Source organism: Homo sapiens, chromosome 21, assembly GCF_000001405.40.
Source record: "Homo sapiens chromosome 21, GRCh38.p14 Primary Assembly".
NCBI classification, from domain to species: domain Eukaryota; kingdom Metazoa; phylum Chordata; class Mammalia; order Primates; family Hominidae; genus Homo; species Homo sapiens.
This window is the reverse complement of record NC_000021.9, coordinates 45,006,112-45,020,565: the sequence shown is the minus strand read 5'-3', so window position 1 is coordinate 45,020,565 and position 14,454 is coordinate 45,006,112. Positions and strand designations below refer to the sequence as shown.

The 14,454-nt window shown below is 53.4% G+C and overlaps 7 annotated features.

The window, feature by feature from the left end:
• Positions 733 to 1,606: an enhancer, noted in NCBI's record as "H3K27ac-H3K4me1 hESC enhancer chr21:46438875-46439748 (GRCh37/hg19 assembly coordinates)". NCBI's record gives its function as "activates a minimal SCP1, AML or CMV promoter by ChIP-STARR-seq in naive H9 embryonic stem cells {active_cell/tissue: H9 hESC(naive)}" and the evidence as "EXISTENCE:reporter gene assay evidence [ECO:0000049][PMID:30033119]".
• Positions 3,272 to 3,772: an enhancer, noted in NCBI's record as "H3K4me1 hESC enhancer chr21:46436709-46437209 (GRCh37/hg19 assembly coordinates)". NCBI's record gives its function as "activates a minimal SCP1, AML or CMV promoter by ChIP-STARR-seq in naive H9 embryonic stem cells {active_cell/tissue: H9 hESC(naive)}" and the evidence as "EXISTENCE:reporter gene assay evidence [ECO:0000049][PMID:30033119]".
• Positions 6,633 to 7,616: an enhancer, noted in NCBI's record as "H3K27ac-H3K4me1 hESC enhancer chr21:46432865-46433848 (GRCh37/hg19 assembly coordinates)". NCBI's record gives its function as "activates a minimal SCP1, AML or CMV promoter by ChIP-STARR-seq in primed H9 embryonic stem cells {active_cell/tissue: H9 hESC(primed)}" and the evidence as "EXISTENCE:reporter gene assay evidence [ECO:0000049][PMID:30033119]".
• Positions 6,633 to 8,687: a biological region, named in NCBI's record as "P300/CBP strongly-dependent group 1 enhancer GRCh37_chr21:46431794-46432993".
• Positions 7,488 to 8,687: an enhancer, noted in NCBI's record as "P300/CBP strongly-dependent group 1 enhancer chr21:46431794-46432993 (GRCh37/hg19 assembly coordinates)". NCBI's record gives its function as "activates an origin of replication core promoter dependent on BRD2, BRD4, P300/CBP, MED14 and CDK7 cofactors, with strong dependence on P300/CBP, by STARR-seq in HCT116 cells {active_cell/tissue: HCT116}" and the evidence as "EXISTENCE:reporter gene assay evidence [ECO:0000049][PMID:35650434]".
• Positions 7,558 to 7,852: a silencer, noted in NCBI's record as "tiled region #531; HepG2 Repressive non-DNase unmatched - State 1:Tss". NCBI's record gives its function as "represses a minimal TATA promoter and a strong SV40 promoter by Sharpr-MPRA in HepG2 cells {active_cell/tissue: HepG2}" and the evidence as "EXISTENCE:reporter gene assay evidence [ECO:0000049][PMID:27701403]".
• Positions 7,617 to 8,602: an enhancer, noted in NCBI's record as "H3K27ac-H3K4me1 hESC enhancer chr21:46431879-46432864 (GRCh37/hg19 assembly coordinates)". NCBI's record gives its function as "activates a minimal SCP1, AML or CMV promoter by ChIP-STARR-seq in naive and primed H9 embryonic stem cells {active_cell/tissue: H9 hESC(naive and primed)}" and the evidence as "EXISTENCE:reporter gene assay evidence [ECO:0000049][PMID:30033119]".

Sequence of the window (14,454 nt, the reverse complement as noted above, 5' to 3'; positions counted from 1 at the left end):
AGTGGCTGGGGTCTCACTGGGCATAGACCATGTGCCTTCTGGTCACTGCTCCCCAGTGACCGCCCACAGCTCAGGTCAGGCTCTGTGGAGGCTGCGGGAGGGGTGGGGGTGGGGACATAATTCTGCATGAATCGCATGGACTTCCGGCCAGGACTTGCATGAAGTGGGCTTGGCAGTGTGCAGCGTCCCTGGGCTTGTCCTGGCTGCTAAGGAGCAGCAGTGATCAGATGGCCCCCATGACAACTGACCCTGAGTGTGCACAGGCGGGAGCAGACACCTCCACTGGGGAGCAGGGCACAGGCCTGTTCCTAGTGTTCAGGTCGCACCCATGGGTCTGCAGAGACAGTGGCTGTGGCACAGGTACAGGTCGAACTGATTGACCTCAGTTTTCCCAGTGTGGGGAACCCGTGTTGCCAGGCAGGTGGCTGCCCTGCTCACTTTTGGGGGAAAACAGTTCTACTTTCCTGTCTTCCAGCCCAAGAGTGGGCCACGTGGCTCCCTTTGTCCCGATGGGACCACACACTCTCACTCACACAGGTCACCGCTGAGTCCTTGTGGAGCTCGTGAGGGCGGAGGGCCAGGCCCCGTGGGTTCTCTGCGTTTCTCCAGAGTCCAGGTCCCGTAACTGTGGTTTGTGTCATGCGACTGTGGCAGCAGAGGCAGCGGCATTCTGTGTGTGGATGGGAGAACTTAAACATGCTTCCATAGACAGGGGTGCCAGGCCCTTCTCGGAGCGCCATGCAGACACCTCTGGAGAGGGTGCTACCATGCGGTCTCCCAGGTGAGGAAACTGAGTCTGGACTCCGACCTCCAGTGTGGCTGGAAATAGCGCCCGCCAGGTTAGATCTCACATGGTGAGTCCTGACACCGGGGTGTGTGCCCAGGGGATGCGTAGTGCTGGTCTTGGCTGGGCCGTGGCTGTCAATGGGAGGGTCATCAGGTCTTTAACCAGAGAAACCCTTGGCCCAACACTCTAATCGTAAAGTCGGGGTGGGTCCCTTGGCCTGTCCGCCCCCTGCAGCCGGCACATGACAGCTGACACAGGCCACGGACCACCGCCACCACCTCAGGACCCTGCAGCCAGCAGTGACGTGGCAGGAACAGTGGCATCTTTCCCAGATCCACCTGCCCAGGCACCGGCGCCCCTCCGAGCCGCTCCCTCCAGGGCCCCCCAGGTCGGCGGGTGCGGCCCACGCTCAGGCCCCAGGCCTCAGGCGCAGTGTGGGAACCGAGCCCCGGGGTGCGCTGCCTACAATAATAGAGCGTGACGAATGGCATCGCCCGCGCCCAGCGGGACAGGGCCCGGCTGTGGGAGCCGGCGCCCGGCCTCTTCCCAGCGCCGCCGCCAGAACGCCCGGAGCCTTGGGCCCAAAGAATGTCTGGGAACGCGCGACAGCGGCCGGGGGCGGCGGGCGCGGGGCAGCCGCGCAGACAACCAGCGGGCGGGGGTCCTGCCCGGGCCTGGGACAGACGCGCCCCAGGGTCGCCTGCAGGGAGCGCGTGCCGCGACCTCCAGGACCCCGCGCGGGAGGACCCGGCCCCTCCCCGCCCCTCCGGGCCCCCGCCCCGCCCCCTCCCTTCACGGTCCGGGCTCGCTCGCCCACGGGTGGGGGTGGGGCGGGGAAGAGTCCAAGGGCGGGGCCGGGGCCGGGGCCGGGGCCCTGCGGGTGGGGCTGGTCCGGCTTGGCTTTTCCTTTCGTTGTTGTTATTTTTACCAAAGCAACATTTGCACCCAGCGTGGGCATCACAGAGCACCAAGGCCAACCCAGGGCTTCCCGCGCAGGCCCGGACGGGCCCTCCCCCCACCCCGCCCCCACCCGCTCCCTGTCCCAGGGCCCCGCCCCGCCTCCGTCCTTCACAGCGGCGCTGCGTGCGGCGACATCGCGGGTTCTCCGGGTCTGCGCGTGGACCGTGGGTCTCTGCCCCCGTGGGCGCCGCCTCTCAAGGGCGCGCTCGGGCTCAGGTGCGGCCGCCACGCGAAGCCCCTCGCAGCGGGCTCGGCGGCCCGGCCGGTCTTACTTCCCAGCCATCCCCCCAGTAGGAAGAAGCGCGTGTCTTCGTTTCCCGCTGCCGCTCCTGCTCCAGGACACCCACCCCCGCCGCGACCGCCTCTGGCCCCGGCCCCCTGGCCTCGCCCGGCCTCGCCCTCGGGGGGCTTCCTTCGCGGCGCCCTGGGGCCCCCGTGCCGTCGTCCGGGCGCTTCCCGGGGCTGCTGGGGGTCCTGCCGGGTCCCGCCTGGACCAAGTGCACGAACGGCTGAGGGCGGGGGTGGCCTCTTCGCTGTTCCTCCCAATGAAGGCCCCACGCGAGACCCAGGCCCGTGGCCTTCGTGGCCCGACGCTTACCCCTGGCAGCTGCGTCCCAATTCCCTTCCTTCAAAGGCTGCATCGGTCCTGCTGTCGTGGGGCCCACATCGTGTTCACCCATCCACCCTCCCTGGAGGCGCCGCTGCTCCGGCGTTTAGCCAACGTGAACAACGCGGCTGTGAACATGGGCTACAAAGGTCTTTTCCAGACCCGCAATTCTTCTGGGTATAGACCCACAAGGGGGTTGCTGGCTCCTATGGTAATTCTATTTTTAATTTTCTGAGGAACCGCCATACTGGTTTCCATAGCGGCTGCACCATCTTACACTCCGCCAGCAGAGCGCAAGGGTTTCAGTCTCTCCACATCCTCACACTTGTCATTTTCTGTTTTGTTTTTTTTTTTAATAGTAGCCATCCTAATGGGTGTAACTTTTCCCTGCACTCCCCTGGTGATTACAGGTGCTGAGCATCTTTACATGTGCCAACTGGCCATCTCCACGTCTCCCCTGGAGAGCTGCCCACTCAAGTCCTGTCCACTCAGGTCCTGTCCACTCAGGTCCTGTCCACTCAAGTCCTATCCACTCAAGTCTCTTACAGCCCTGATACTTTCCAGCTTGGCTCTCCCCCATGGTGGGCCAGAGGTCCCCTCGGGGGCCAGCAAGCTCCAGTAACAGAGGGTGTCTCCTTCCCTGCATTTCGGCAGAAGCCCTGGGAGGGCTCTGATGGGTTTGGCTCAGGCCACGCAACCATCCCCAACCCCATTTCTGTGACTAGGAGGGTGAGAGGCTCTGACTAGCCCAGCCTGACTCACCCACACCTGGAGCTGGGAGTGGGACCAGCCCCAACCAAGCCAAGAGTTGGGGGAGGGTCCCCAAATAGACATTAGGCAGATGAACGACATAAGGTCACCACAGTATTCATTGCTGTGTTATTCACAATAGTGAGAATCTGGAAATAACCAAATGTCTACAAAGCGGGCTGGGCTTTGTAGTGTGTGCACGCAGGGAACGTGGAGCATCCGGTCACAAGGATGGTGCACAGTGATGGACACCAACAGTGGGGCCCCATGTCCAGATGAAATGTCACGCAGTGGAATAAACACCAACAGTCATTGTATCTGAGTGGCTGGAATACGATCGATTTGCATTGTCCTCATTTTGCCAATCTGTATTTTCTCAAGTTCCCAAAAGGAAACACATTCCCTTTATAATAAAAAGGAAGTGACACTGTGGATAAACACATCGGAGGCATCCTCGTCAGCAGCCCCCACTGGCTGCGGTGGACGGTCTGGCACTGCTCCAGGCCTAACTGGACATCCTCCCAGCAGGGGACGAGGGCCAGGACCAGCAGACCACCCCTGGGTCATCCTGTCTCTGCTGTTGTCCAGCCCAGGGCCTCACACCTGGGCATGATTCCCCCAGATGTGGACCCTCCCTGGCTGAGGACTTCCATGGCTGGCCTCGGCTCCCTGACTCCCCGACTCCCCGACAGGGCCCATCTGTTCCTTCTGAGCCTGAGGAAGCTTCCCTGTTACTGCCCTGACGTCTCAACAGGGCCTGGTGTGTGCGATGGTGACAGCTCCCACAGTGAGAAGCATGCTTGTCCGTCACCAGAAGACACCCAGCCGCACAACTCAAGGGGTGCAGTCACCCCAAAACCTAGCTGGTGCAGATGCCTGCTCAACGCCCCCTCCAAGGTATTGGAGCTCCTGGCTGCTCCTGCCTGCTGGCGTTTAGCGATCCCTTCAGAAAAGCAGAGCTCAGAAGCCAAGTATTGATCTCATGGGATGCTTTGTTTCCTAATGAGCCATTCACTTTAAAGCAGGCTCACTGCTTACATTTAAATTTTGGATTCCTCTGGTCAAACATCCATCAAGTAAATGGATAGAATGTTTAATTTGATGGAGGCTGTGCTGGCATGAGCAGCCGGGCTGCCTCCGCCTTTCTCCTGGACCAAGGGGACGCTTGGGGGCAGAGGCTTTTCCACCAGGAGCCACCAAGGCCGGAGCTGGGTTGGGCTGGCTCTCAGAGGGGTGCAGCCACGTCTGCTGGGCAATTCCCCGAACATCTGGCCCCTTGGCATCATGGAGGGAAACGGATGGCTATTTGCTGACTTCTAGAAAACAGCTGAGTTTATGCAGACTACCAACAAAAAGGCAAAGAAAAAAATGTGTTTTGCCTTACAGCTTTCAAACAAATGAGTTACCCATTGTGCTGTGGGACACAGCCCCCTAAAAGTTGCACACCCCCTCATAGGGATGCTGTGTTCTGCTTCCAGCAGCTTCTACAAGGTGAGGTTCCCAGCCCAGTTTCACAAAGCGTAAGTGGACCCCCAGCAAGTGTTCACGAACCAAACACACACTTTAAAGCGGCAGATCCAGAAACAGGTCCACACCACCCTGGCCACGTGGCTGTGGCTCTAACCTCTGTCTCCACGGGTGTCTCTGCCTGTTTTGAGTCCCATATAGACGGTCACACTATGTGTGTGCTGCTTCATAAGAAACTTCTAGGCAATCACCACCGTGAGGGCCGCCTCACCCTGGCCTCACGGCTGCATTCACGCTGGACTGAATTCAGAATCCTTCCCCAGTGTCTAAATCGAGTTCAGAGTTACTTAGCAAGGGCAGGCTGGGCCGTGGCCCCACAAACAGGACTCTGAGTCTGGAGGCCCCGTCAGGGGTCCTCAGGGCTCATTCAGTGAGTGTGAGGGGCTCCTCAAGCCTTGGAGATCTGCAGAGGTGGGGGCTGTGGGGGTGACAAGGTGTGGATTCTGCTCCTGATGCCCCCCGAGCACCTCCACGGCCCCCTTTCCCCTGCCCTGCCCCTCCCCTCCCCTGCTTTTCCTTTCCTCCTGTCTTGTGGCCCCATCCCGGTTCTACAACCTTCCTGCTACCTTCAGGATGCTCCAGGTGCAACGAACAGGAGCCTCTTCTCACACTGCCCACCCCTCAAAACCTTCACTGGCTCCCAGAACCTTCACTGCTCCCAGAGCTGGGCAGCTCAGGGCAGCAGGGGCTTCAGGCATGGCTGATCCAGGGCTGTGGGATGGTTGAGATGGGGGGCCATTTCCACCCTCTGCCCACGCTGCCCCTCCCATCTTGGGGTGGCTGTGACCGCAACAGGGCTTTGTGCTGATTGGACCACCGTGAGCCAATCCCCAAAGCCAGGGGTTCTCCCACTGTGACCAGCTTAGACCAACCACTCACATTTGTGAGGGGTGTCGGAAGAATTGACAAAGATTGAGATGAGCAAAGATCCTGGGGCTCTCCATTCAGCACAGGAGGGGCTTCCAGAGCCCCATGGTGGCTGCCAGTGGGGAGTCCCAGCCTGGCGCAGCTGCCTGTGCGTCTGGCCTCAGCCTTTTCCGTACATTGAAATAAGAATAGTTAATAAATGCAAAGTCCTTATAATGCTAGCTGGCGCACGGCACTATGGGAGCCTCGCTGTCACACTAGGTCCTGTCTGCCTCCGTGCTGGAAACTTCCTGGGCCTCTTGTTGCACTCAGAGTTCAACCCTAACCCCTCTCAAGGCCCAGGGGCCTGGCACACTGTTTCCTGCCTCCCTGCCCCTCGCCGCACCTCTCTCGGCTCCCCTGGCCCGGGCTGAACCTGCCAGCTTCGCACCTGCTGCCCCTTCTGTCTCCGCCCAGGGCCCCGAGTGGCTCCTCCCCCAACCAGGCCCTGCTCGGCGGGGGCGGCCCCTCTTGTCTCTCTCCCCTCTGCCACTTGGTTTCTCTCTGCCCACAGTGTGTGTGTGTATTGGCTTCCTGCTGTCTTCCCCCTGGGAACAGGAGTTCAGATCCCCTGAGACAGGAATCATACAGGGTGGTTGCAAGAGGATAGAAAATTCCAGGCAGCAGTTTTCCAGGACCAGCCAAAGGGAACTGTTGAAATAGATTTCAGGCTGTAAGACCCTGAAAACCAGAGTGCGGGCCCAGCTGGCTAAGACCAACTGGACCCACCCCGGTGCTGGATTTGACCCGGGTTTCACCTAGGACCTCATGATACGCTCATTAACATCCTAAATCCCAGGCCAGGTGTGGTGGCTCACGCCTGTAATCCCAGCACTTTGGGAGGCCGAGGCAGGCAGATCACCTGACGTCACGAGTTCAAGACCAGCCTGGCCAACGTGGTGAAACGCTGTCTCTACAAAAATACAAAAATTAGCTGGGTGTGGTGGCATATGCCTGTAATCCCAGCTACTCGGGAGGCTGAGGCAGGAGAATTGCTTGAACCCGTGAGACAGAGGTTGCTGTGAGCTGAGATCGCACCACTGCATTCCAGCCTGGGTAACAGAGTGAGACTCTGTCTCAAAAAAAAAAAAAAAAAAATCCTAAATCCCACACCCATGGGTGCCAGGACAGTTCTGGGAACACCCATGTTTGGAGTAAAAACTGGTGGGACCACAGTTCTGAGAAATCTCCACCTTTTTCCAGGAATCTTCTTGGACTCTGCCCCTTGGTTTAAAAAAAAACCCATAAAGGCAGCAGCCCCAAACCTCACTGCGCGACTGTCTTGTGAGTCCACGCGAACTCCCCTCTTGAGTGTAGACTTTTCACTTTGCAATAAATCTCTGTACTTTGACTATTTTCGGACTTGTCCTTGAATTCCTTCTCGCGGTGGTGTCAAGAGCCCTGACACTGGCTGGGATCGAGGTCCCATCAGCGTCTGGGGACCTTGCACAGCCCATCAGTATCACCCTCAGATGAGCCGAGGGCGTGCAGGTCCCAGGTCCGCTTGGTGCCGGTGGCATGAGTGGTCGGTCTGTGAAAGCCAGGGGACCCACAGCAGTGCCAGCCCCCAAGGTAGGGCCTGCTTGCCCACAGCTCCCCCAGGTGTGAGCCCGCCCTGTAGCAGCAGGCTGCCCCTGGTGGTACTGCAGAGCCCAGGGTGAGTTCAGCTCTGTCCCCAGAGGGCCGGTGGGCCTTCTGCTGGCTGTTTGCACAGCTCGCTGGGTGCGGGGCAGCCTTGGCCTTTAGCCGGGGCCTCCCTCTCCCTGCAGGGGGAGTCCCCAGAGTCACCAGCCTGGCTGCTGTTTCTGCAACGCCCCCACCACGCCCCACCACCATCAAGGCCCCTCTGCCCCTGCCTTCACCTCCCCAGGACTGGGGCCTCCATCTGCTTTCACCTCCCTGGGCTCCCAGGTTCAGCCCTCCAAGAGTTGCTGCAGCTTTACTCTTTCTCTTCCTTTCACTACAGATGCGTTCCCCCCTCAGTTCCAGGTGTGCGTTGGGGACAGAGACAAGGGCATTGCCCAGGCTGCCATCCTTAAGAAGTCTACGTGGGAAATGGGTAACCCACAGGAACAGACTTGGGTCAGTGGCAGGCATGTCCCATCCAGACACCTCTTCCCCAGCTGCTCCCTTCGGGCTCAGGTGCCGCCTCCTCTCTGCAGCCTCCTGCCAGGACCTGTCTGCCGGAGCTTCCTTCGCTCAGCCCTGAACCCCGCCCACCACTCCCTGCAGGCACAAATCCCTGATTTCTGTCCATCTGTTCCTTGCCTCTGAAATGTCACCATTGGGTGTTAAAGGGTCTGGAGGTGACCTGAGGCAGGTGAGATAGGGGGACCATGAGGGGGCCACTCCTCAGCCCTGTGCTCTCTATTCTGCCCCTAAGAGGAGCTAAGGAACAGTTCTTTGGTCTGATTGTGACACTGCATCCTGTGCTTTCACTGTGTGGTGGGCTGAGTGATGGCCCTGGAATGTCCGGGCCCCAATCCCTGGAAAGTGACCTCACCTGGCAGGAATGTTTGCAGGGGGGACTCAGTGAGAGGCCCTGAGACGGGGGATTATCTCGGATCATCCGGGTGGGACTGAGGCGCCTCTGGTGTTCTTAGCAGGGGAGGTCTGCCCCACCAGACCACGTGTCACCAGCGCTGTGCTGCTCTGCTGGCCACGAGAGGGAGGCCAAGGGGGCAGCGCGGGGGCTGAGGCGGCAGGAGCCTCGAGGAGTCCTGCAGACACCTTACACCTTTATTGTGCCCAGTGAAACCACTTTGGACCTGGAGCTGTGAGAACGTCCATTTCTGATGTTGCAGCTGCCTGCTCTGTGGCGATTTGTTGCAGCTGAAGCTCGTGCAGCTCGGCAGTGGCGTGGTCTGTGTTTCTCGGGTTGTGTGGCCCCCATTCCTGCTGGAACCGGGGCAGTGAGCCGAGGTGCTGGAGGCCCTGGGCGGGGCGGTGTGTGGTCCCCTCAAGGCTGCCCGGCTGTGAGGACCAATGTCTGCACCACCTCTATCAGCCGGCCCTCCTGCGGCAGCTGGGGTCGGGCGGGGTGTGGGGGGCGTGAACACAATGGGCCAGAACCCAGGTGTGGGCTCGAAGCTTCTGTGGGGCTGCTCCATGCGGGTGCTGTTCCCAAATAATTATCTGGTCAAATGTGACGCGGTCCTGCAGACTTGGCATACTGGGCAGAGCCTGACAGGCTCACACACTTTGAGCAGAAATCCCTTTTTCAGAAATTGCCTCTAAGGAAACGCCACGCGTGGGGATTCAGACGTGCAATGAAAGGGGCTTGATGCGGCTGCTCCTCAAATTTTGGTGGATTTGGTGGGAGGCACCACCCCACCACACCTTCTGGTGCGTTCCCTGTAGGCCGCTGTCCAGACAGACGACCTGGCCCCAGGGTTCCAGGCAGGGTCGGGGCTCACCGATTGTTGCTGGAGAGGTTGGAAGGAGGGGTGAGTGGGGCTGCCCCTCAGTGCCTTGGCCCTGCAGCTAGAGGTCACACCCTGGCTTCGGCGTTGGCAGTGGGTCCCACGCGGGCCTGTGCCGGCCTCGCCGTGCGGGCACCCCTCTGCTGGGATGGGTCTCAGCAGAGATGGAGAATATTGTGCTGTTGAGAACACTAAACGTGTTAGCTGTCGGTGAGACTATAAGTGATTCCTACCATTTTCTTCATGTATCTTTGTATTTCTAGATTTCCTACAATAAACATGTATTAAATTACTATTCTAGTGAAAGAAATAAAAGACAGTAGACTTCCACTTCTAGACAAGATGGAGTGACAGGGGCTGAATGTACTTATCTGCCCAAAACAACTAAATAAGAGACAAGACTATTGAAACCAGGGTCCTCAAGGCAATGGGCATCAGACAAAAAGGAGCCGTGACCCGAGAAATGGGACACGGACGCGATGAGCCCTCTGAGGGCCCGGCCGACCTCCCGGAGAGAGTTTCCAGGTCACAGTGCTGGGAGGTGACGCAGGTGGAGCCAGGGATCTCCTGAGTTGAGGACGCTGAGAGTCGGGGAGACCAAGGCAGCCACAGCTTGCAGGGCAGAGGGTGAGAGAGGGGAGCTGCACCTAGCGAGAACCCTGGAAAGGCACAGAGGGCCCCTGAGAGGCAGCAGAAGGCTGATGAGCAAATTGAATCTGTAGTTAAAAATCTTCCCCTCTCACATACAAAATAACCCCGGGCTTAGACGGCTTCACAGGGGAGCTCCAGCCAACATTTAAGAAAGAGCTAATAGCAATTCTACATAAGCTCTTCCAGAAAGTTGAAAAGCAGGGATTTTTCTCAAGTCCTTCCAGGAGGCCAGCATGATCTTGATATGAAAACCAAAGACATTACAGGAGAAGAATATAGGAACAAGCATCCCCCTTTAGAAGTCCTAAACAAAAGCTTACTAAATTGAACCCAACAACATATTAAAAAGATGATACATCATAACCAAGGAGAATTTTCCCCAATATATCAGGATTGTCTTAAGGATTGAACACGTAAAAATCAATTTAAGTCACCATATTAACAAACTGAAAGAAGAACAATGTGATTGTCTCAATAGACACAGAAAAAGCATTTGACAAATTCCAACATGCATTCTCAAAACACTCTTGGCAAACAGGAGTAGAAGCAACTTCTTCAACCTGATAAAAGGCATCTCTGAACACCCGACAGCTGACATCACACCTACTTGTGAAAGACTGAGTGCTTCCCCTGAGGCCAGGAACAAGTCAGGGACAGCACTCTCAATGGTCCCATTCAGCATTGCACAGGAGGTTCTAGTCAGGGCAATTAGGAAGGAAAAAAGAAAATGAAAGGCATCGTTATTGGGAAGAAAAGAATAATACTGTCTTTATTTGCAGAAGACAAGTTCATCTATGCAAAAAAATCTAATGGAATTCACGAAACAAAAAGCTGCTGGAGCTGAAGAGTGAGCATCACAAGGTTGCAAGGTCAAGATCAATGCCAAGAGTCACTGCATTTCCATACCCCAGCAACGGACAGCCAGAAATTAAAATGGAAAGAACAACACACTTGTCGTAACATCAAAATTATGAACTAGGGATAAATCTGATAGAAGGTGTGAAAGTCTTGTACACATAAAATGAGAAAACATTGCTGAGTAAACGAAAGAGGACATAAGAAATGAAAACTTACACCATCTTCATGGGCTGAGACTCCATGTGCGTAAGACAGAAGTTATCCCCAAATTGATCTGCACATTCAGCAAAATCCCAACTGAAGTCTCAAAAGGCTTTTTTTTCGAAGAGGATTTGACAAACTCATTCTAAAATTCACATAGAAAGGCAAAGGCCCTATAACAACCAGAACATCGTTGGAAGATAAGAGCAAAGTTGGAGGATTTACACTAGCTGATTTTTAGACTTTATAAAGCTGTAGTAACCAAGACAGTGTGTTTATAAAATGCTCAGAAATAGAGCCATACACACATGGACAATTGGTTTTTGACAAAAGACTCTCAGTGAAGAAAAGAGGGTCTTTTCAACAAGCAGTGCTAAAACAACGGAATAGCCACATGGAAGAGGGAACATTGATCTATACCCCAGGGCCATATAAAAAATGAACTCAAAATGGATTATAGATCTAAATGTAAAACCTAAAACTATAAAACTTCCAGAAGAAAACATATGAGAAAATCTTTGTAGGTTAGGCAGAAATTTCTTAAATTCAACGCCAAAATAAATGAATAAACTAGAATTCATCAAAATGTAAAACTTCTGCTCTGCAAAAGACATGTTTAAGAGAATGAAGAGATTGGCAACAAAGCAGGAGAAAATATTTGCAAATGATGAATCTGATAAGACTCCAGCATGCCTTAAAGAACTCCCAAAATTCAATAATAAGAAAACTAATAACACCATTAAAAAATGGGCAAAAGTTTTGAATAGAAAATCCCTCAAAGAAGACATAGAAATTCAGATCAAAACACAAAAAAAAGATGATCGACATCATTAGTTACCACGGAAATTAAAACCACCATAAAATGCCACTGTCCACACATTAAAATGGCTAAAATGAAAAAGACTGACAGTATCAAGTGTTGATGAGGATGTGGAGTGTCATGGTTGAATGTCTGTGTCCCTCCAAAATTCGTATACTGAAGCCTTAGCCCCCAGTGGGGCTGTATTGGAGATGGGCCTCTAAGGAAGCAATTAAGGTAAAATGAGGTCCTAGAGGTGGGGCCCTGATCCAATAGGATTAGTGTCCTTATGAGAAGAGACACCAGAGAGTTTGCTCTTTTTTCTCTGCATGTGTGCACTTGTGAAGGCCCTGTGAGGATACAGCAAGGAGGTGGCTGTCAACAAGCCAGGAGAGAGCCCTCACGGGGAATCAAATCTAGCAGCACTTTGGTCAGGGACTTCCAGCCTCTAGAACGGTGGGAAAATTAACTTTTGTGGTTTAACCCCCACCGCCTTTCTGTGGTATTTTGCTAGAGCAGCATGAGCAGACCAAGATATCAAATAACTGAGGATGTGGAGAAACTGACACTGCTGGTGGGGGCAGAAAATGGAACAGCCACTTTTAATAGCAGTTTGACAGTTTATTAAAAAGTTAATGATATGTGGCCAGGTGCGGTGGCTCACGCCTGTAATCCCAGCACTTTGGGAGGCCGAGGCGGGCGGATCACAAGGTCAGGAGATCAAGACCATCCTGGCTAACATGGTGAAACCCCATCTCTACCAAAAATACAAAAAAATTAGCCGGGCATGGTAGCGGGTGCCTGTAGTCCCAGCTACTCGGGAGGCTGAGGCAGGAGAATGGCATGAACCTGGGAGGCAGAGCTTGCAGTGAGCCGAGATCGCGCCACTGCACTCCAGCCTGGGGGAGAGCGAGACTCCGTCTCAAAAAAAAAAAAAAAAAAAAAGTTAATGATATGCCTCCCACAGGATCCAGACCTTTGACCCTAAGTTTTTTGTCAAGGGAAATGAAAGCATATACGTCCATACAAAGACTTGTCTACAAATATTCACGAATGTTCACAGCAGCTTTGTTTGCAGTGGCCACGGACTAGAAACAGCCCAAATATCCAGCAACAGGGGAACCGGTAAACAAACTGCAGTCTCTCCTTACAATGGAATCCTAATAGGAATATGCCACATTGATCCACACAGCAGCACAGATTGATCTCAGAATAATCATTGCAGTCTCTCCATACCATGGAATCCTAATAGGAATATGCCACATTGATCCACACAGCAGCACAGACGGATCTCAGAATAATCATGCTGAGTGACAAGAGCCAGACCAAAAGAAACAAACCAAAACAACAACAACAGCAACAACAACAAAAAACCATACTGGATGATTCCACTGATACAAGTTTCTAGAAAATGCAAACTAATCTATAGTGACAGAAACAGATCAGTGGTTGCCTGGGGATGGGGTTACTCGGAGAGCAGAAGGGGGATGGGGTTGCACAGAGGGACAAGAGGGAATGTTGGGGGTGCTGCATAGGTTCGTTATCTTGATTGTGATGATGTTTTCATAAGTGTACACATGTCAAAACTTGCCAAATTGCATGCTTTAGAAGTGTGTTTATTTCACGTCAGTATTACCTCTGTTTTTAAAATTCTAGATAATGACGACTGCAAAATGGCAGGATAAGGACGTCCAAAAAGCCTCATTGATGAAAGCAATGAGAACGCTGGCAAAAATGATCAGAATCGGCTTTTTCAGACCTCTGGAAATTAACCAAAGATTTGCAGTGAGGAATGAAATTTCAGTGAAAAGCAATATCCTAGCAGCCACTGGGGTGGAGAACTGAAGCCGAGCTCCCCCAAAGCCTCTTCCCGGAGAACTGTCATTATCTGAGCTGCCTCTCTGTTCCGTGGAAGACTCTACTTGCAAGACTATCTTTGCCTGATTGACTCGGAGCTTAACCCGTAGGAACAGCCCAGGGGCATTTGTTAAAAAGAAGAAGAAAAAAAAAACCAGGCAATTATTTAACATTGCAGGTGCCTGAGGCAGTGGATAACAGGTTGGGGGGGGAAATAGGCTAACAAAAATGTTTAACAGGAAAATCTGGGGGAATGAGACATCCATAGGGAGATCTGAAAAGCTCCTGCATACTCCTGGGAACCTCAAAGGCCATGCTCATGCCCAGGGCTGTACACGTGCTCATCTCCCACTAATCGTTAGGCAGGCAGTGAAGGCTGAGGCAGAGTTGACAGCTGCCTGGCTGAGTGTTGACGGCATGCCCCATCACTGTACGGAGCTCCTCAGCATAGACGGAGACTCTTCAGTTCCAGATGCTTAAGGAAATCTCTGCCCAATTATTCGATGGCCACTAAGCTAAGCGAGCAGAGACTTCAGTGGGCACACATGATAAAGAATATAGATTCGACAGAATTTGTCCAGAAATCACTAAACAAATAACAACAATAACAAGTAGAAACAACAAACTCGGGGAAGGGAAGAGAATTTGATTTCTAGAATTACAACATTCTATTATATTAAATGTCCAGTTTTCAAAAAAGAGTTTTAGAGATATACAAAGAAATTTTAAGAAGTCTCAAACATGGGGAAAAAAGCAAACAATAGAATCTGTCCCTGAGAAAGCCCAGAGATTAGAGTTACGGACAAAGACTTTAAATCAGTTGCTTTAAATAGGTCCAAAGAACTAAAGGAAACTATGTATAAAGAGCTAAAAGAAAGTATGAGAACAGTGTATCACCAAGTAGAAAATACAACAAAGAGATGTAAATTATTTCTTTAAAAAAATTCTGGAGGTGAAAAGTACAATAACTCAAATGAAGCTTTCATTGTAGGGGCTCACCAGAAATTTGAGCAGGCAGAAGAATGGACAAACTAGAAGACAGGTCAGCCTGTCCAGCTTGAGAAACAGAACAGCAGCGAAAACAACATGAATGATGAAAAATGAACAGAGACCTTCAGAGACCTCCGGG